The 20,885-nt window shown below is 45.0% G+C and overlaps 1 protein-coding gene and 1 pseudogene across 3 annotated transcripts in view; one reads left to right on the top strand and one right to left on the bottom strand.

The window, feature by feature from the left end:
- The window catches only part of ZNF44 (zinc finger protein 44), a 70,198-nt gene that overhangs the window by 24,226 nt on the left and 25,087 nt on the right, over positions 1-20,885 (top strand). For 2 of the 3 annotated variants that reach the window (XM_047438924.1, XM_047438922.1), the window contains one exon: positions 20,290-20,417. In XM_047438924.1, the coding sequence (XP_047294880.1) occupies positions 20,290-20,291 (2 nt within the window). In that variant the 3' untranslated portion in view covers positions 20,292-20,417. Of the gene's footprint in view, positions 1-1,348; positions 4,384-20,289; positions 20,418-20,619; positions 20,681-20,885 lie in introns of those variants that run through there. The other variant, XR_007066867.1, reaches the window with a different exon arrangement.
- RPL28P5 (ribosomal protein L28 pseudogene 5) lies at positions 10,168-10,566 on the bottom strand (annotated as a pseudogene).

Here is a 20,885-nt window from a genome sequence, read left to right as displayed (position 1 = left end):
CAACATGGTGAAACCCCATCTCTACTAAAAATACAAAAATTAGCTGGGCCTGGTGTCATGCGCATGTAGTCCCAGCTACTTGGAAGGCTGAGGCAGGAGAATCACTTGAACCCAGGAGGCAGAGGTTGCAGTGAGCCAAGATCCTACCACTGCACTCCAGTCTGGGTGACAGAGTGAGACTCGGTCTCAAGAAGAAAAAAAAAAAGTTGAAATGGGTGTAAATTGCCTTAATCTGCTTGATGATCCTTGACCAAGTGGCTGTGGCAGCGATAACAGTGTTAGAAGGCAAGAACATCACTTACACTTTTTCATCAGCATAACAGAAAAATTAAATTTTTGTTTTGTATTGAACATGAGCTTTGCTGGATATACGATTCTTGGTTAAGCTATGTTTCATAGCAGAGCATGATGAGAGTGTGTGTGAGGCTTCCCACTGAAAGGAGGAATGGAACCTAAGAAAGAGCAAATGTATCTATTTTACCCTAGTTATTTATCATTACAGTAGTCAACTAATGTCACACAACAATGATCAATATGAAGAATGGGATGGAAGAAGCAAATAATGTGGTTGGAGATTATAGCATTGTCTTCTTAGGAGACTGAAGACAAAACAACTGGAAATCTATTAAAACTGTGAAGGAGTCAATTTGCTGCTTATGGAGTGAGCATATCCTGTATTCATGATAGCATATACTATTGACTTAAAATAATATTTCTTGCAAATATATATAAATTTCTGAGGATGGTACTAATGCCATATGCAACATCTATTTGTGGACAAGTATGAGTGTTTTCTGATGAGATGACCTAAGTATCACCTCCATGGATATATATATATACAACTTTGGTGGATTGAAGTCTCCTCATCCCAGTGCTCATTGGGGAGAAATCCCATAATGTAAGTAATTTGGGAAAATCCAATCCAAATTAACTCATGTATAGTGCTCCAGAAAATTTGCATCATCAAAGAAATGTTATAACATTTATAACTATTGGCCAGGTGTGGTGACACAACATCTGTAATTCCAGCACTTTGGGAGGCTGAGGTGGGAGGATCGCTTGAGGCCAGGAGTTCAAGACCAGCCTGGGGAACATAGTGAGACTCCATCTCTTATTTTATTTTATTTTATTTTTTGAGATGGAGTTTCACTCTTGTTGCCCAGGCTGGAGTGCAATGGTGCTATCTCGGCTCACTGCAACCTCTGCCTCCTGGGTTCAAGTGATTCTCCTGCCTCAGCCTCCCGAGTAGCTGGGATTACAGGCACCCGCCGCCATGCCTGGCTAATTTTGTATTTTTAGTAGAGACAGGGTTTCACCGTGTTAGCCAGGATGGTCTCAATCTCCTGACCTTGTGATCCATCTGCCTTGGCCTCCCAAAGTGCTGGGATTACAGGCGTGAGCCACTGTGCCCGGCCTTCTTTTTTAGAATGTGTAAACTAGACACAATTTTTCTCATGTCATGCACATAAAAGCAGTATTTTCCAGCAGTGGTCGCTCACTCTCCTTGCTGGGCAGACAGTCAGTGTATCCAGGGTGCAGTGATTTTGGAGTATCCAGGTGTGGATGAACTATTTACTTGTGGTTGGAGTGCTTCCCAGATTCTCATAGCCAGGGGCCCAGGCATGGTGGCTCAAGCCTGTAATCCCAACACTTTGGGAGGCTAAGGCAGGAGGATCACTTGAGTCTAGGAATTTGAGACTAGTCTCAGCAACATAGGGAGACCATGTGTCTACAGATAATTTTAAAAATTAGTTGGGGTAGTGGTGCACGCCTGTAGTCTCAGCTATTCGGGAAGCTGAGGTGGAAGGATTGCTTGAGCTTGGCAGGGTGAGATTGGAGTGAGCCATGATTGTGCCATTGCACGCCAGCCTAGGCAACAGAGCAAGACCCTGTCTCAGAAAAAAAAAAAAAAAAAAATTAGCCAGGCATGCTGACATGTGCTTGTAGTCCCAGTTACTGGGTGGGAGGATAACTTGAACCCAGGAGTTTGAGGCTGTGGTGAGCTATGATCATGCCTCTGTACTCCAGCCTGGGTGACAGAGTGAGACCCTGTCTCAAAATAAATAACAGTGTAAGTTAAATAATAATAAAGAGATTTTCTCCTGGCTCTGAAACCATTTCTGGACCTGCAAGGCAATCATGTGGAATGAAATGGGGCCATCCATCAACAGGGCAGGTAGTAGATTAGCCAGATTTACTAGTATAATGTTAGACATAGACCAGTAGAACAGAATAGAGAGACCAGAAATAATCTTCATTTATGGTCTGTTGATTTTCTACAAATGCCCCAAGATAATGGGGAAAGCGTTTTCAACATGGTGCTGGGACAACTGGATATTAACCTGCAGAAAGATGAACTGAGACCTTTATCTCATATCATATGTGAAAATTAACACTAAAATGATGAAAAGCAAAAATACAAAGTTAGCATCAGATGTAGGAGAGTATCTTTGTGACTGGGGTGGGGAAGGAGCTTGTGTGTGTGTGTGTGTGTGTGTGTGTGTGTGTGTGTCTGTGTGTGTGTGTAAGAACACCAAAGGCCCATGTAATCCCAGCACTTTGGGAGGCCGAGGCAGGCGGATCACCTGAGGTTAGGAGTTTGAGACTAGCCTGGCCAACATGGTGAAACCCTGTCTCTGTTAAAAATACAAAAATTAGCCAGGTGTGGTCACGCTCGCCTGTAATCCCAGCTTCTTGGGAGGCTGAGACAGGAGAATCGCTTGAACCTGGGAGGCAGAGTTTGCAGTGAACCGAGATCACACCACTGTACTCCAGCCTGGTTGACAGAGCAAGACTCTGTCTCAAAAATTAAAAAAAAAAAAAAGACAATCTGTCAAGGTGAGACTTAGAGACTAAGTCTCATTTGGGTTGTCTCCTAGAAGAAGGGTTTATAAAGTTGACAGTTTAGGGCAGAACCTTAAACTGACTCCAGGTGAGAGTTTCTTGCTTTTGAAAATAAAGATCTTGAAGGGAAGATTGTTCCCACATGAGGTGGGAACAGGAGGACATGTTGAGCTCCCAGAGTTAAATCCTTAGGTTTCTCTGCCTCATCACCAGGGACTGATAGACTCTTGGGCCCCTTTCAACAGAGTCTGACTCCCCAGCTTGGGAATATGTTTGTCACTTGGCGTTTTCCTTGTAAATGGTAGTGCAGTGTAGACTGCTTAAATGAACCAATTCAGATGTTTCCTTTTCTTCCGTTTTTATTCCTTTATAGAATATTGCTGTCATATAACTCCCCTTTTTCCCATATATTAAATAACTGTATTCCCTTGTTGGTGTGTTTTAATTTTTTGGCTGAAAATGAGTAGGCAGGCCGGGCACGGTGGCTCACTCCTGTAATCCCAGCACTTTGCAAGGCCAAGGCAGGTGGATCATTTGAGGTCAGGAGTTCGAGACCAGCCTGACCAACAAGGTGAAACTCCGTCTCTACTAAAATACAAAAATTAGCCTGGTGTGGTGGTGGGTGCCTGTAATCTCAGCTACTCAGGAGGCTGAGGCAGGAGAATTGCTTGAACCCGTGAGGCAGAGGTTGCAGTGACCCGAGATCATGCCACGCCACTGCACTCCAGCCTGGGCGACAGAGCAAGACTCTGTCTCAAAAAAAAAAAAAAGAAAAAAGAAAAAATGAGTAGACTGAGGGATAAGGTGTGAGGAAGCCTTCGCCATGCCACCAACAGCCTTTCTTTCCAAATTCCTGACCCCTGGAGGACATCAAGCCCTCTCCCATGTTCCAGTGTGACCTGGTCTAGGCACCCCTCCTGCTCTGAGGCACGAGGATCGTTCCTTTGGCCACTGAGAATGCAATTCCCTTTTGTCCAAGAGGAAGAAGAAAGAAAGTCCCATTAGTACAGGGAGACGCCAGTGCCAGCTCTGGAAAGCCAGGAGCAAGTTCTTAAATTCCAATGTCCTCTGGCGAGGGCATGTCCTGCTGGTTTCTTATTTAAACAATAGGTTTGAGGATCTTGGACTCATTTAACTTATTGATAGGGGAAAATGGATCAGGGAGGATGCCCAAGCTGGCAAGGGCAATGGTCAAGAATCTGTCATTCTGGCCCCTCTCAGGCGCTTGCCTTACCTCTCCTCTCTGCACTGTGTCCCCCACCCCAGGGGGAGGGGCCTAGGGCACTATCCAATTAGGGGTTCTGAGGGCGGGGCCGTGCCAACAGTCCAATCAGGCGTGCTGTAGGGCAGCAGGCGGGGCGACGCGCTAAAGCCCGTGGGTTTGGGTTTTTTTTCCCTCTCGCCTTGGCGCCCTCGGGTCGCTCTCGGCTTCTCTGAAAGTGCTGAGGGTGTGTCAGCTCAGGGTGTGTCGCGATTTGCCCTGCTGTGGCCAGGAGAGCCATCAGGAGGATGCTGGGACACCCTGGAGTCCAGGAAATGGTGAGTGTGCCGGGCTGGGGTCCCGACACGCGGGAGGAGGGGCTGGCTGGGACCGGCTGTGGCGGGACCCGGGCCTCCCTGCGGGCGACTCCGGGGTCTGGGGCTCTAGTCCCCATGGCACAGCTCGGCCCTCGGTCCCCTTGGCCGCAGGGTGGCCCTGGTCCGGCCGGCAGTCGGGACCCCGGGCGTCCTGTCCTGTCCCTGCGTGGTGACTTCGCCCCCAGCCCCAGAGCCCTCTCTGGGCAGCTCCGCGCCCGCAGGCCCGCGTCTCCCCCAGATTGTGCGGGGACCATGGGAGGGTCATGGGGAGAATTCCCGCCTTGGGTGCAACTTTAGCGAAACGACGTGCACCAGGTTCTAGAATGTTCCTTACATCGTTGATAAGGAAACAAATAGGTTTTGTTATACCATAAAGTCGCAGTTTCTAAGACCCTCTCGACGACTTTTAGGGAAAACTTACTGTGTTTTAATAATCTATTTTCCACAGAGCAAAGGATTAGTCTTTTAGATTTAATTTTGTTGTTGTTCGTGGATATTTTACGAGAGAGGAAAGCAGAGATAGCAGCTTGGAAGTTAGTTGTATGAAATGGTTGTGCCTCACCTCCCAGTATCTTTCCTTGGCACAGACATCTTACGTGTTGAGGATCCTCTTTGGAAATTTTTCTGGGTGATCTGTCCTTGAGCATAGTTGCGGATCAGCACTGAGCCTCCCCGGCTTTATCACCTTGAAAACGTCGACTCGATTGTGTGTTAGTATTTAGGTAAATGTAAGGTGTGTTCAATCACTAGAGCGTGAAGGATGGTACAAAATATTTCCAAAAAGGCCAAGAAAGGTGAATTTCTGGAAAAAAGAAATCCAGTATTACATCCTGCTTTTTTTGTTTGTTTGTTTGAGACAGTGTCTCCCTCTCGCTGAGGCTTGAATGCACTGGGGGGATCAAGGCTTACTGCAGCTTCGACCTCCCCATCTCAACCGATCTTCCCACTTCAGCCTCCCGAGTAGCTGGGACCACCACACCCAGCTAATTTTTTGTAGAGAGCGTGCCTCTTTATGTTGCCCAGGCTGGTCTCGAACTCCTGAGCTCAAGTGATCCTCCCAAAATGTTGGGATTACGGGCATGAGCCACTGTGCCTAGCCTAAATATTATTTTAACCCCTTTTTCTTCTAAGTTTCTGAGGCTCGTTTTTTTCTTTTGGTTGATTTCAAGAGGAATTCCAGGGCTTAGACTTACAATTCCTAGGTGTGTTAAAATATGATTGTTTAGAAAACCACTTCTGGCTGGGCACAGTGACTCATGCCTGTAACCCCAGCATTTTGGGAGGCCAAGGCAGGTGGATCTCCTGAGCTCAGGAGCTCCAGACCAGCCTGGGCAACATGGCGAAACCCTGTCTCTAACAAAAAATACAAAAAATTAGTCAGGCATAGTGGTGCGTGCCTGTGGTCCCACCTATTTTGGAGGCTGAGGTGGGAGGATCGCTTGAGCCTGCAAGGTGGAGGTTGCAGTGAGCCAAGATTGTGCCACTGCACTCCAACCTGGGTGACAGAGTGAGACCCCCTCTAAAAAAAAATTGTTTATAATAATTAACTATTGATTACATTATTAGTTTGACTAATGATTATAGTTTATCATGATTAATGATTAATAGTTTGACTAGTGATTAAATAATCATTTATAATTAACTTCATTTTCCAAAAGGAATAGATATTTGTGGGTTTTGTTTTGAAACTAGATAATGTTTTACAGTTTGCTTCCATGCTTTATACATAAATACTTGGTTTGAGTGATTTTGCTGAATTCTTGAAACACTGGGTTTTTCTCATTTAAAATATCAAAAGTGTTCTAAAGCCGCATGACTAGTGAGCGGAGGCCTGAGGCAGTGACTAGAAGGTAAGGCCACCTTTGACTCTGCCAAGGGAAGTAATTAAGACCCAGGTGGTTCTCCTTAGGGTGCTTCCCCTGCAGGTGTCCTACGTACTCACGCTTATCAAGGAGAGCAGGTGTCCTACATACTCACACCTATCAAGGAAAGACCCCTTTGGTACTGACAGAAACTGAGCATTGGAAAACTGGGGATCCACATGTACGTGGTGGGGAGGGGAACAGCGTGATACTTCTGGGGTTGTAATTGTAGTTTCCTTGGGCCTGTTTTTAGACAGTGGATTTGAGGGGTAGTTGTTGTTTCGTTTGATACAGGGTCTTACTCTGTCACCCAGGCTGGGGTGCAGTGGCACAGTCTTGGCTCACTGCAGCCTCCTGGGCTCAAGTGATCCTCCCACCTCAGCCTCCCAAGTAGCTAGGACTACAGGCACATGCTATCATGCTTGGCTAATTTTTTTTTTTTTTTTTTTGAGACGGAGTCTCGCTCTATCGCCCAGGCTGGAGTGCAGTGGTGCCATCTCGGCTCACTGGAAGCTCTGCCTCCTGGGTTTACGCCATTCTCCTTCCTCAGCCTCCCAAGTAGCTGGGACTACAGGCGCCTGCCACCATGTCCAGCTAATTTTTTGTATTTTTAGTAGAGACGGGGTTTCACCATGTTAGCCAGGATGGTCTCGATCTCCTGACCTCGTGATCCGCCCGCCTCGGCCTCCCAAAGTGCTGGGATTACAGGCGTGAGCCACTGCACCCAGCGCTAATTTTTTTGTTTTTTTGTTTTTTGTTTTTTGTAGAGACAGGGTTTTGATACATTGCCCAAGCTGGTCTCAAACTTGTAGCCTCAGGGACTCCCATCTTGGCCTGCCAGGTGCTGGGATCACAGGCATGAGCCACCACTCCCAGCCTTCTGTTTTGCATCCCCAGTGTTGCTGCATTCAGAGTGTAATATTTACATGTTGAGAAAGTCTGTGAAGTTAGGACTTTTGTCTCCTGGATCTAAGATTGATGAATTTGAAGCCAGGCATGGTGGCTCATGCCTGTAATCCCAGCACTTTGGGAGGCTGAGGCGGGCGGATCACCTGAGGTCGGGACTTCGAGACCACCCTGACCAACATGGAGAAACCCCGTCTCTACTAAAAATACAAAATTAGTTGGGTGTGGTGCCACATGCCTGTAATCCCAGCTGCTCAGGAGGCTGAGGCAGGAGAATTGCTTGAACCCATGAGATGGAGGTTGCGGTGAGCGGGAGATTGCGCCATTGCACTCCAGCCTGGGCAACAAGAGTGAAACTCCGTCTCCGGAAAAAAAAAAAAAAAGATTGATGAATTTGAGAGTTCATTTGGGTCAGAACCTTAAACTGAATCTGGGACTGAACTACTCTAGGTGTTACACCTTAATGGTGAGAGTCTGAACCCCCAGCTTGTTAGGGTGTTTGACCTTCTGTGTGTGGATTTTACAATTCTGAATTGTGGGGAAGCAGGCTGCTAAGCTGATTAGAATATTTGTGTTTCTTTCCTTTGGTTTCCTTTTTCTGTTTATTGTGGTGCTTCAACTGTAGTTTCCCTTAGCATTTTGTAATTTATACATGTGAGTGTGTAGGATTTTCGTTTCTTTGGCTTTGAAAATGAAAGTTGATAAATATGATGTAAGGCAAGACAATTCTGGAACCAAGCAGAATTGTGTTCCTTTTGTGCAAAAGAATCTTAAGATGCAAGATGAGTGCATTGAAGTTCTCGGGTACATTTTTCATTTTTAAGTCAGTTTTGTATGTGCATATGCCCTAGAGGATGTGACATTTAAAAGGCTCTACTCTTTAAGAAAAATGAATTTTGGGCCGGGTGCAGTGGCTCAGGCCTGTAATCCCAACACTTTGGGAGGTCGAGGCGGGCAGATCATGAGGTCAGGAGATCAAAACCATCCTGGCTAACACAGTGAAACCCTGTCTCTACTAAAAATACAAAAATTAGCCTGGTGTGGTGGTGTGCGCCTGTAATCTCAGCTACTCGGGAGGCTGAGGCAGGAGAATTGCTTGAACCTGGGAGACGGAGGTTGCAGTGAGCTGAGGTCACACCATTGCACTCCAGCCTGGGCATCAAAGTGAGACTCCACCAAAAAAAGAGAAAAAAGAAAAAGAAAAATGAATTTTTATTTTAATTGATAAGATGAAAATTCAATTGAGTTCCTATTTTAATGATACGATGGAAACTACTCAAAACTTATGTAATCTTTGAGACTTTTTTACATTTAGAGTTAGGTTTAAATCCATCATGCTTTAAATAGGCTACTCATTCCTGAAAGCACTGCCCTCTGGGATACAGTAGAAAGATAAAATATGATGCAATTTGTCATTTAGTTAGAGATTTTTTTCTTAATTTACACTTTTATACCCATTATTTAAAGGATGAAATCTTACAATGGTTTCCTATGTTTAAAAAAAGTTAAAAGTCAATAAATTTTAGAAACAAGTTAATTAAAAATAATGGCTAATAGTAAAGTATGGTTTATATAATTTTTTTCAATCATTTAAAATACACACAAAGGTTTAAAAAAATCTAAAAGAAAGTGTGGGTTGAGAAAACTTACTGCTAGAATATCCTGGTTTACCCTAGTGCTCTTGCTCCAGCCACCCCCAGATAACCAGTTTTGATAATAACTTGTGCATCTGTTAGTGTTTCTTTATATAAAAACAAGCAATTGTAAATGCGTATTTTTCCTATTCACTATTGTTGAACACATTGTCTTTTTTGTTGTTGTTGTTATTGTTAGAGACAGAGGACATGGTCTTGCTCTGTCATCCAGGCTGGAGTGCAGTAGTGCAATCATAGCTCTCTGTAACCTTGAACTGAGCTCAAGTGATTCTCCCATCTCAGCCTCCTGAGTAGCTAGGACTACAGTCACATGCCAGCACACCCAGCTACTTCATTTTTTATATAGAGATGGGGTCTGGCTATGTTGCTCAGGCTGGTCTTGAACTCCTGGGCTCAAGCGATCCTCCACTTTGGCCTTCCAAAGCATTGGGATTGCAAGCGTGAGCCACCAGAGCCACTATGCCTGGCCCTGTTCAACATTGTTCTTGTAATTAGTGGTTGGACTCTACATTTTTAATGTTTCACAATTGACCACTTCATCCTCTTCCCTTAATGCCCTACTTCTGGACAAGCTGAGAAGGCCTGGGCATCCTTCCTCTGTCATGGGCAGGAGACTCAAACCACATAACCAGCTGCCCATGCAGAGGAACTTGCGCCCAGCCCCACTTCCAACCACAGTAAACACCCTGGGCAAGTTCCCTTCCTTGCTTTTTTAAGCCATTTCCCACCTGCTTGAGAGGCCTGCCCTGTTCTCCCTAGAGACGTCAGTCATGGGAGTAATAAGCCTTTTCATACCCTCTCAGTGTGTGTGAGACCCACTGTCATCAGTGTCATCATTGCAGCCTCGCCCTTCTAGGTGACTAGCAGTTGGTGCTGTGAACAAGATGTCTAGATATTGACCACCACTCATGGGTCTATCTTCTCTTGTTCTGAATTGCTGACCTGCTCTATGGCCCATTTAGAGTTTGAGCTGCTGCTTACTGGGAGCACATGCTTTGTGCTGTGCTGCTCTGTGTTTCTTCCATTGTTGAGCCCTACCAAGTCTGGTTCTAGGTTCAGCTGACTTTAGTTGACAGTTTTTGATAATTCCTTGGAATTGGGGAGCTGGAGTATGGGAGTAGGGCCTTCCTTAAAGTGGTCCTGGGTTTACATCCTGGGCAAGGACCTACCTGTGTTTTTGTTTTGTTTTTTTGTTTTTGTTTTTGTTTTTTGCGGGCATGAGGGGCTGGTGGTGAGAAAGCCAGCTGACTCTTTATTGCTTTGGGGGCAGGGGGCTCAGGAGCTCTTGGTGGCGCGGGTCCGCTTCCGCTTCACCATCACAGGCTTCTGGCTGCACAGGATGGCGCTGACCCTGCGGATGGCTGCCATGCGCAGGTCGGGGCGGTACTTGTTCTTGAGGATCATGTGTCTGATGCTGCTGAGCGTGACGCCAGCATTCTTGTTGATGGTGGTCCGCGCGTAGGAGGTGGCAGGCTTCGGCTGGCCGGATCTCTGCTTCGTGACCACCACCACACCTTTGTCCTCGGCTGCCGGCTCCACGCCCACAGTCTTGTGGTGAATCAGCCCGTTGTAGCGGAAGGAGCTGGGGCCTTCAAGTTACTGGGCTTGGTGCTGTAGGTCGGCATAGTCCTCTTGATCAGAAACTGGAGCAGTTCTGCACGACCATCCATTGCAGATGCGCGGACATGGTGGCGGCTCCTCTCGCAGTGGCGGCCTGAGACCTGTGTATTTATAGTGAAGTTGTGACTGATGCCTGGGTTGCCCCAAATGTAAAGAGTGGGAGTGGAGGGGGGACTGTATACACTGTCAGAGGTTGGTCATTATGTGGCTGCCCCTGGAAGAGCAGTCCTTCAAAAAGAGGACAGGGAGGGAAGGTGGGGAACAGCAGCCATTAGATGATGGACTGAGTCCACACTCTTTAACAGCAGAAGCTTTCCCAAGACCCTAAAGTGCTATTGCTGCTGCTTCATGCGCCTCTCCCACAACAGAGAGCTTGACCTTTGGGTTTAGTGGGGGATAACACCCATGGCATAGTTGTGGCATAACAAAGAAGTTAGTTCAAACCTGACTTAAACCTGGGGTTCTTAAACCTTCTAGAGCAACCATTGCCGTAGGGGAGGTGCTTCACCCTGATGACAGTGATGACACCCTGATGACACAGGCTCTCTGGTGGGGAAAAAAAATATTAGTACCAGGTTAGAGAGGACACACCCTCCCCCAGAGTACATCCAGTAACCAAAAAACAAAGCAGGGAAGGGAAGGAACAAAATAAAAAAACACTGATGAAACAGAAGTCCACAGTTTGACCCAGTTGGAAATGTATTAAAGGAATTTGCATAACAAAAATCATAAAAAGGGCACTCCTTGGGTTTTTGGCCTCTATAATGTAGGTTCTGAATTTTAACATCTGTATCAGTTGATAAACCTTCATGGGATTAATACTAGGGCTCATGTTATAGTTATACCTGGGTATCCCATCAAATTTAATGAAGGTATCCTGATAATCATAGAGGAATTAGTGAATATAAAATAAATAGAGCAGAAATCCCTGTGCCTCTCCTTAGCCATCATAACTATTGTGTTGGCTAAGTCATTCTTGGTTGTATTATAGAACAAATTGTCTTAAAATATCACATAGGGCCAGGTGCGGTGGCTCATGCCTGTAATCCCAGCACTTTGGGAGGCCAAGGTAGGTGGATTGCTGGAGCCCATGAGTTCAAGACGAGCCTGGGCAACATGGTGGGACCCTGTGTCTACAAAAAATACAAAAATTAGCCGGGTGTAGTGGCACGCACCTGTAGTCCTGGCTGCTTGGGAGGCTGAGGTGGGAGGGTAGCTTGCGCCTGGGAGGTTGAGGCTGCAGTGAGCTGTGACTGTGCCACTGCACTCCAGCCTGGGTGACAGGGTGAGACAACAGCCCTTAAAAAATCCCACAGTGACCAAGGAAGCTCTGAACCAGTGAGTTATTTATTTATTTATTTATTGAGACAGAGTCTCGCTCTGTCACCTAGGCTGGAGTGCATGGCGGGATCTCAGCTCACTGCAGCCTCCGCCTCTCAGGTTTAAGCAATTTTCCTGCCTCAGCCTCCTGAGTAGTTGGGATTGCAGGCACTTGCCACCACGCCCATCTAATTCTTGTGTTTTTCGTAGAGACGAGGTTTTGCCATGTTGGCTAGGCTGGTCTCAAACTCCTGGCCGCAAGTGATTCACCTGCTGTGGCCTCCCAGTGTGCTGGAATTACAGGCATGAGCCACTGCACCTGGCCATAAATTCAAATTAGGTATTTGGCAGTTACAAATTAGATTGACAAAATGGGACCCCATGAAACTTACTCCCCAATTAAATTAGTTAATATGACTCAATGTAAATTGATGGGCCTTGAAGGATTGACAGCTATTATACAAAACCATTAATGGTTGTATGGTTGTAGTGAAGGGGCAGTTATCCCCAGTGCTTTTTTTTTTTTTTTTTTTTTTTTTTTGAGACAAGATCTCACTCTGTTGCCCACGCTGGAATCCAGTGATGCAATCACAGCTCACTGCAGCCTCCAACATCTGGGCTGAAGCATCCTCCTGCATCAGCTTCCTGAGAAGCTGAGACCACAGGTGCGCCACCATGCTCAGCTAATTTTTTTTTTTTTTTTTTTTTTTTTGTAGAGATGAGATCTCACTATGTTGTCCAGGCTGGTCTTGAACTCCTGGGCTCAAGCAGTCCTCCTACCTCAGCCTCCCAAAGTGCTGGGATTACGGACATGAGCCACTGCACTTGGCCGAGTATTTCTCCTTTTAACAGCCTAATTTGGCCTGGCCTGTTTTTTTTGTTTGTTTTTGTTTTTTTGTTTTGAGATAGAGTTTCGCTCTATCGCCCAGGCTAGAGTGCAGTGGCGCAATCTTGGCTCACTGTAATCTCCACCAGCCGGGTTCAAGTGATTCTTCTGCCTTGGCCTCCCGAGTAGCTGGGATTACAGGCGTGCACCACAATGCCCAGTTGAATTTTTTTTTTTTTTTTTTTTTTGAGACAGAGTTTTGCTGTTGCCGGGGCTGGAGTGCAGTGGCGCGATCTCGGCTCACTGCAGCCTCCATCATCCGGTTTCAAATGATTCTCCTGCCTCAGCCTCCCAGGTAGCTGGGATTACAGGCACCTGCCACCACGCCCGGTTAATTTTTATATTTTTAATTTTTATATTTTTAGTAGAGACGGAGTTTCACCATGTTGGCCAGGCTGCTCTCAAACTCCTGACCTCGTGATCCACCTGCCCCGGCCTCCCAAAATGCTGGGATTACAGGCACGAGCCACCACGCCTGGCCAATTTTTGTATTTTTTTAAGTAAAGACGGGGTTTCACCATGTTGGCCAGGCTGGTCTCGAACTCCTGACCTCAGGTGATCTACCCTCCTCAACCTCCCAAAGTGCTGGGATTATAGGTGTGAGCCACCGCACCCAGCCTAATTTGGCTTGTTCTTAAATCTGGGTGCCTCAAAGTGGACTGTTGCAATTTACTGCTGTAATCCCAACCTATTGAGCCCCTACACCCAATATCCAACATTATGGAGATTACTGATTCCATCCAATGAACAAGTGGTAGATATTCTGTAGTCACAGATTTGTATAGGTTTTGTTCAGTCTCTATTTCAACAGACTTAGCTGCAGTTTACCTTCACCTTTGAAGGGATGTGGTCCACCTTTATCTGGTTTCTATTCAGGGAACCTCAGTAGCCTTGATATTGCAGTCTTTGCTGGCAAGATCTAAATTTTATCTACCTTTCTTCAGGAGCACAGGCATGGCATTATGTTAGAGTCATTGCTGGCCAGGAGCAGTGGCTCATGCCTGTAATCCCACACCTGTGGGAGGCTGAGGTGGGAAGATCACTCGAGGTCAGGAATTTGAGACCAGCCTGGCCAACATGGCAAAAACCTGTCCCTACTTTAAAAAATGCAAAAATTTGCCCGGTGTGATGGTGAGCGCCTGTAATCCCAGCTACTTGGGAGGCTGAGGCACAAGAATCACTTGAACCTGGGAGGCAGAGGTTGGTTGCAGTGAGCCAAGATTGTACCACTGCACTCCAGCCTGGGTGACAGAGCAAGACTCCGTCTCAAAAAAAAAAAAAAAAAAAAAGAGTAATTGCTCTCTGGGGACAGTCATTTGACATTCATTCAAGACATACAAATATTGAAAGAAAAGAGCTTACAAAAAGTGGAAGGGCTATTGCCCCATCTAGAATGTAAGAGGCACTGACACCTTGGCTAAATTCCTGAAAATTATGTGGTAAGCAGAGGACCGCATCCTCTCTGACATAGTGAAGAAATAGCGTGTTTTTGTTTTTGTATTTTGAGACAGGATCTCTCTGTCACCCAGGCTGGAGTGCAGTGGATCTCGGCTCACTGCAATCTCCGCCTCCCAGGTTCCAGCAATTCCCCTGCCTCAGCCTCCTGAGTAGCTGGGATTACAGGCATACACCACCATGCCTGGCTAATTTTTTTGTAGTTTTAGTAGAGATGAGGTTTCACCATGTTGGCCAGGCTAAGAAATAGCTATTGACTTTCTCACCATCATAATATCTTTCAGATTCTTTTGTTCTTTGTTCTGCTGGAGGCAACATAATCCTTGTGCGCAAATTTTAATTAAATCCAGTTATGCTGTGACTTGCGGGTTGGCCCACCTTGAATGGGTATTTTTACCACAGAGGCTTCTAGACTATTCAAATTGCCATGCAATTAATGCCCTCTGACTCCTTTACTATGTAGGCTGTTTTTTTTTTTTTTTTTTTTTTTTTTTGAGACAGAGTTTCGCTCTTGTTGCCCAGGCTGGAGTGCAATGGTGTGATCTCGGCTCACTGCAACCTCCGCCTCCCCAGGTTCAAGCAATTCTCCTGCCTCAGCCTCCCTAGTAGCTGGGATTACAGGCACGTGTCACCACGCCTGGCTAATTTTGTATTTTTAGTAGAGACGGGGTTTCTCCATGTTGAGGTTGGTCTTGAACTCCTGACCTCAGGTGATCCGCCCACCTTGGACTCCCGAAGTGCTGGCATTACAGGAATGAGCCACCGTGCCCGGCCAGACTACGTAGGCTTTAGCACCCCCTTCTTGTGGCCCTGCAGGTAGCCAGATGGTCATAAGTTGTCCACAGGCTTCTGATGCAACCCCACACTATGTGCCAGTCCCATGTTGAATAGAAATGCTGTGTGAGAGGACTCCCTTGCCTTGTTCTTCATCTTACTGGGAAAGCATCTTGTTTTTCACTATTAAGTATGATGTTAGCTGTAAGTTTCTTGTAGATGTTCTTTCTTAAGCAGTAGTTTCTCTCTATTGCTAGTTTGCTGTCATAAATGGAAGTTGTACTTAGCCAAATGCTTTCTCATTTTCATTTTCCTTTTCATTTGTGATATTAGTAATTTCTGTCCTCTTTGTTTTCCTCAGTTAGCTTGACTAGATTTTTTAATCAATTTTATTCATCTTTTCAAAGAGCTGGCTTTTGGTTTTGATTTTTTTTTTATTTCTTGCAGTTTCACTATTTGAAAAAATTTCTTTTCTTTTGCTTACTATGGTTTTAATTTGCTTTTTCTAATTTCCTAAAGCACATGCTTAGATAATTGATTATATATTTTTCTTCCTTTCTAGTGTATATGTTCAGTAGCATACTTGTCCTCTATGTATATACTTTTGCTGTGTCCCACAAAGGGGTGTGTGTGTGTGTGTGTGTGTGTGTGTGTGTGTGTGTGTGTTTTGAGACGGAGTCTCACTCTGTCACCCAGGCTGGAGTGCAGTGGCACGATCTTGGTTCACCACAACCTCTGCCTCCCAGGTTCAAGTGATTCCCGTGCCTCAGCCTCCCAAGTAGCTGGGATTACAGGCATGTGCCACCATGCCTGGCTAATTTTTTTGTATTTTTAGTAAAGATGGGGTTTTGCCAGGTTGCCCCAGGCTGGTCTCGAACTCTTGACCTCAAGTGATCCATCCACCTCAGCCTCCCAAAGTGCTGGGATTATAGGCGTGAGCCACCACGCCTAGCCCCTACAAAGTTTAATAAGCTGTATTTTCATTCATTTATTTTTTATTTTATTATTATTATTATTATTTTTGAGATGGAGTCTCGCTCTGTCGCCCAGGCTGGAGTGCAGTGGTGCGATTGCGGCTCACTGCAACCTCCACTTCCCTGGTTCAAGCAATTCCCCCGCCTCAGCCTCCCAAGTAGCTGAGATTACAGGTGCATGCCACCATTCTTGTCTGATTTTTTTGTATTTTTAGTAGAGACAGGGTTTCACCAGGTTGGCCAGAGTAGTCTCGAACTCCTGACCTCAGGCAGTCGGCCCACCTTGGCCTCCAAAGTGCTGGGATTGCACGTGTGAGCCACCAGGCCCAGCCTTTCATTCATTTAGGTAAAAATAGTTCTATGAGATTTTGAGGGCTGCTTTTTAACACAAAAGGAAAAAATCTTTAAAAAGGAAAAAACTAGTTTTTAAGTGCCCTTAAAACTACTACTTTCATCCGTGGGTCGTTTAGAGGTGTGTGGTTTAATCTGCAAGTATTTTGAGGTTTTTCAACTGTTTTTTTGTTATTGATTTTTATATTGTCATTGTAGTCTGCAAGCATATTTTATATAATTTTTCTTTCAAGTTTGTTAAAGTGTTTTTTTTTTTTAATCTGCTGTGATCTTCTGGATTAGGTTTGTTTTATGTCCCACAATGTAGTCTATCTTATCTTGGTGACTGTTCCATGTGAACTTGAGAAGTATGTGTATACTGCTGTAGTTGGATGAAGGATTCCATGTATTTCAGTGGAATCTATTGTTTGGTGCTATTCAGTTCACCTGTGTCCTTCTTATTTTTTCCTTTTTCGAGACAGAGTCTCGCTGTGTCACCCAGGCTGGAGTGCAGTGGTGCGATCTGGGCCCACTGTAACCCCTGCCTCCCGGGTTCAAGCGATTCTCCTGCATCAGCCTCCCGAGTAGCTGGGATTACAGGCACCTGCCACCACGCCTGGCTAATTTTTGTATTTTAAGTAGAGATGGGTTTTGCTAGTTGGCCATGCTGGTCTCAAACTCCTGGCTTCAAGCGATCCCCCTACCTCAGCATCCCCAAAGTGCTGGGATTATAGGCGTGAGCCACTGTACTCGGCCTGTCCTTCCTGTTTTTTTTTCTGCCTACTGGATCTCTTAATTACTGGTAGGAGGGTGTTGAAATCTCAACCATAGTCATGGATTCATGTATCTCTCCTTGTAGTCCTATCACATTTTGCCTTGTGCATTTTGCAGTTCTTTTGTTATGCACATGTACGCTAAAGATTATACATAGATTCTCTACGTCTTCTTAGAGAATCAACTCCTTGGGCGGGTACAGTGGCTCACGCCTGTAATACCAGCACTTTGGGAGGCCAAGGCAGGTGGATCACCTGAAGTCAGGAGTTTGAGACCAGCCTGGCCAACATGACAAAACCCTCTCTCTACTAAAAATACAAAAATTAGCCAGGTGTGGTGGCATGTGCCTGTAATCCCAGCTACTCAGGAGGCTGAGACAGGAGAATCACTTGAACCCAAGAGTCGAAGGTTGCAGTGAGCTGAGACCACACCTCTGCACTCCAGCCTGGGCAACAGAGCACAATTCTGTCTCAAAAAAAAAAAAAAAAAAAAGCCAGGTGCAGTGGCTTACGCCTGTAATCCCAGCACTTCGGGCGGCTGAGGCGGGCACATCACCTAAGGTCAGGAGTTCGAGACTAGCTGGCCAACGTAAACCAAAACCCTGTCTCTACTAAAAAATAAAAAATTAGCTGGGTGTGGTGGCACACGCCCATAGTCCCAGCTACTTGGGAAGCTGAGGCAGGAGAATCGCTTAAACCCTGGAGGCGGAGGTTGCAGTGAGCCAAGATTGTGCCAGTGCATTCTAGCCTGGGAGACAGAGTGAGACTCTGTCTCTCAAAAAAAAAAAAAAAAAAAAAAAAAGTTTCTTGTAGGCAACATATAATTAGGTAGTTTACTTGTAGATTACATACTTTTTAATTTTCTTTGTGACTTCAGTGTTTGACTCTTTACCTTACCTGATTTCATTTTTTCCCTCTCTTAACATATTGATTATACTTTTTTTTTTTACACTATTTTAATGGTTGCCCTTGAGTTTTCAGTATACAGCTATCCCAAGCCCTCTTTCTAGCAATCTTAGGCCACTTCACTGGTTGCCCAAGTAACTCATAATAGAGTATTCCCAATTCCTCCCTCATAACAATGCTGTTACTCATTTCACTTATCCATAAACTGTACTTATATGTTGTAGCTATTATTACTTTGAACAACCTGTTATCTGTCACATTAATCAAGGATGAGAAAATGATTATATTTTGCTTCCACTTATGCCTTTTCTATTGCAGTACCTTTCTTTGTTATTTACTTTCTTTCTGGTGAATTTAACATTTCTTGCAAAGCAGGTGTACTGGTGACAGATTCCCTCAATTTTTGTCTCAGAAAGTACTACGGACTCATTTGAAGGATAATTTTGCTTGATACAGATTTTTTCTTTCAGAACTTTAAATATTTCACTCTACTTTCTCGTATGGTTTCTGAAAAGAAGTTCAATTCAACTCTTATCCCTCTTCTCTAGAGTGGCTGGGGAATCACTTCCTTCTTAAATTGGAGAAAGGGCATTTTATGTTCTTTTGGAGGAAACCTCTGCTGAGAACCTTTTATACATTTTATAATCATGTGAAAATTCATCATATCATTGTGGACTTTAATGCACTTTATTGTAAATTGCAAATCTGTTTTTTTTTTTTTTTGAGATGGAGTTTCACTCTTATTGCCCAGGCTGGAGTGCAATGGTGCGATCTAGGCTCACGGCAACCTCTGTCTCCCAGGTTCAAGCAATTATCCTGCCTCAGCCTCCCTAGTAGCTGGGATTACAGGCATGTGCTACCACACCCAGCTAATTTTGTATTATTAGTAGAGACAGGGTTTCTCCATGTTGGTCAGGCTGGTCTCAAACTCCCGACCTCAGGTGATCTGCCTGCCTCGGCCCCCCAAAGTGCTGGGATTACAGGCGTGAGCCAACGCGCCTGGCCTGTAAACTGCAAATCTTAACCTGTTCCTCAAGGTCAGCAAGTCCCAAGGTTAACTGGAATGGTTCTGCTGGAAAGAGCTCTTTTGGCATTTTACCATCTCAGGATGGCAAATATTTGCTAAAAATTGGTAGGAAGTATCCCTGAGGCTCAGAAGTGTAGAGATTTTATCTAAAGTTGTCATGCTTTATTCCTCATGCCTGAGCTCTAACTTCCCAGTAACTTAATAGCTCCATGAAATGGGACAGAAAGAAATAAGTCTCTGATAAATATTAACACAAATAGTGAAAATGAACACTTCTCTGGGGTGGAGAGAAGTGGTGCTATCTCAGCTCACTGCAACCTCTGCCTCCCAGGCTCAAGCTATTCTCGTGCCTCAGCCCCCTGAGTAGCTGGGATTAGAGATGCGCACCACTACACCCAGCTAATTTTTTTTTTTTTTTGAGACAGAGTCTCGCTCCGTTGCCCAGGCTGGAGTGCAATGTGCGATCTTGGCTCACTGTACCCTCCACCTCCCAGATTCAAGTGATTCTCCTGCCTCAGCCTCCTAAGTAGCTGGAATTATAGGCATGCACCACCACACCCAGCTAATTTTGTATTTTTAGTAGAGATGGGGTTTCACCATTTTAGCCAGGCTGGTCTGGAACCCCCGACCTCAGGTGATCCACCCTCCTCGGTCTCCCAAAGTGCTGGGATTACAGGTGTGAGCCACCAAGACAGGGTTTCACCATGTTGCCCAGGCTGGTCTCGAACTCTTGAGCTCAGATAATCTGCCCGCCTCGGCCTCCCAAAGTGCTAGGATTACACGTGTGAGCCATTGTGCCCAGCCAACTTCTCCAAAAGAAATATTTTGATTGAATTGGCTGGATCTGACTACCTCGAATATCCTAGAGTACCTCAGGACAATATGGTCAGGTAAATATTGTTACAAGTTTGATTTCCACGTGCCTCTTGTTCTCATGCTTAGTGATGGGAATAGTAGAAAAAGCTTCTAGTTCTTCAGTGTGCTTTTATTCATCCACGTATTATCCATGTTTGACCCTGTGTCTCATGGAATGTTGAGTGATGTGATGTATAAGAAGAAGATGAGTTTTTCTCACAAAGAATTGATGGTCTTAAAATGGAATTTTTTTGTACAGCATTTCTCTCACTTTTCCAGAGTGCTCTGGATCCTGCCATTGGAAAGCAATATGATTGTGATCACAGTGAAAGTGTAGAAATAATTTTCGTGTGTTCATAAACTACTGAGGGAGTGTGGCCAAAGAGTTAGAGTTCTGACAACAAATTCATAGAATAAATCTCTGGAGATCACAGAATCATCGTGAACATCTTATGACTCGAGTATAGATGTCCAGTGCTGTCAGTCTCACCCATTCTCCTTTACACACATTTGGAATGTTTTAGGACTCAGTGACCTTTGAAGATGTGGCTGTGAACTTCACCCAGGAGGAATGGACTTTGCTGGATCCTTCACAGAAAAAACTCTACAGAGACGTGATGTGGGAAACCTTCAGGAACCTGGCCACTATAGGTAAAAATGAAATCATTCCATCATGTTGTTGAATGAATTAGAGAATACCTTTTTCTTGGATATCAATGCTATTCCAAGATGTGGAATGTGAAAAGGCAAAATTCTTTTGTAAATCAGGCATGGTCACATATGGACCTAGAATCTAATAATTTTTCTGTAATTTCTAATAATTTATGATAATTTTTTCTGGGTCTGCATTTCAGGAACAAAACAAAAAGAATGGAACATTGAAGAGCAGTACAAAAACCAGGGGAGAAATCTCAGGTGAGTCACACTCAGAAAAGAAAGCAGTATTCTAGGAGAAAAATCTTAGTATGTCATTAAATTTGATAATTAAAGAAACAAAACAAGCTGAGCCTCAAATGTATCTGTTCTTAGAAAATATTAACCCAGCTAGCGCAGTGGCTCATGCCTGTAATCCCAGCACTTTGGGAAGCTGAGGCAGCCGGATCACCTGAGGTCGGGAGTT

The sequence above is a fragment of the Homo sapiens genome, chromosome 19 (genome assembly GCF_000001405.40).
Source record: "Homo sapiens chromosome 19, GRCh38.p14 Primary Assembly".
Classification (NCBI taxonomy): domain Eukaryota; kingdom Metazoa; phylum Chordata; class Mammalia; order Primates; family Hominidae; genus Homo; species Homo sapiens.
Note: the sequence above shows the minus strand (reverse complement) of the source record. Positions and strands in the feature narration are given on the sequence as shown.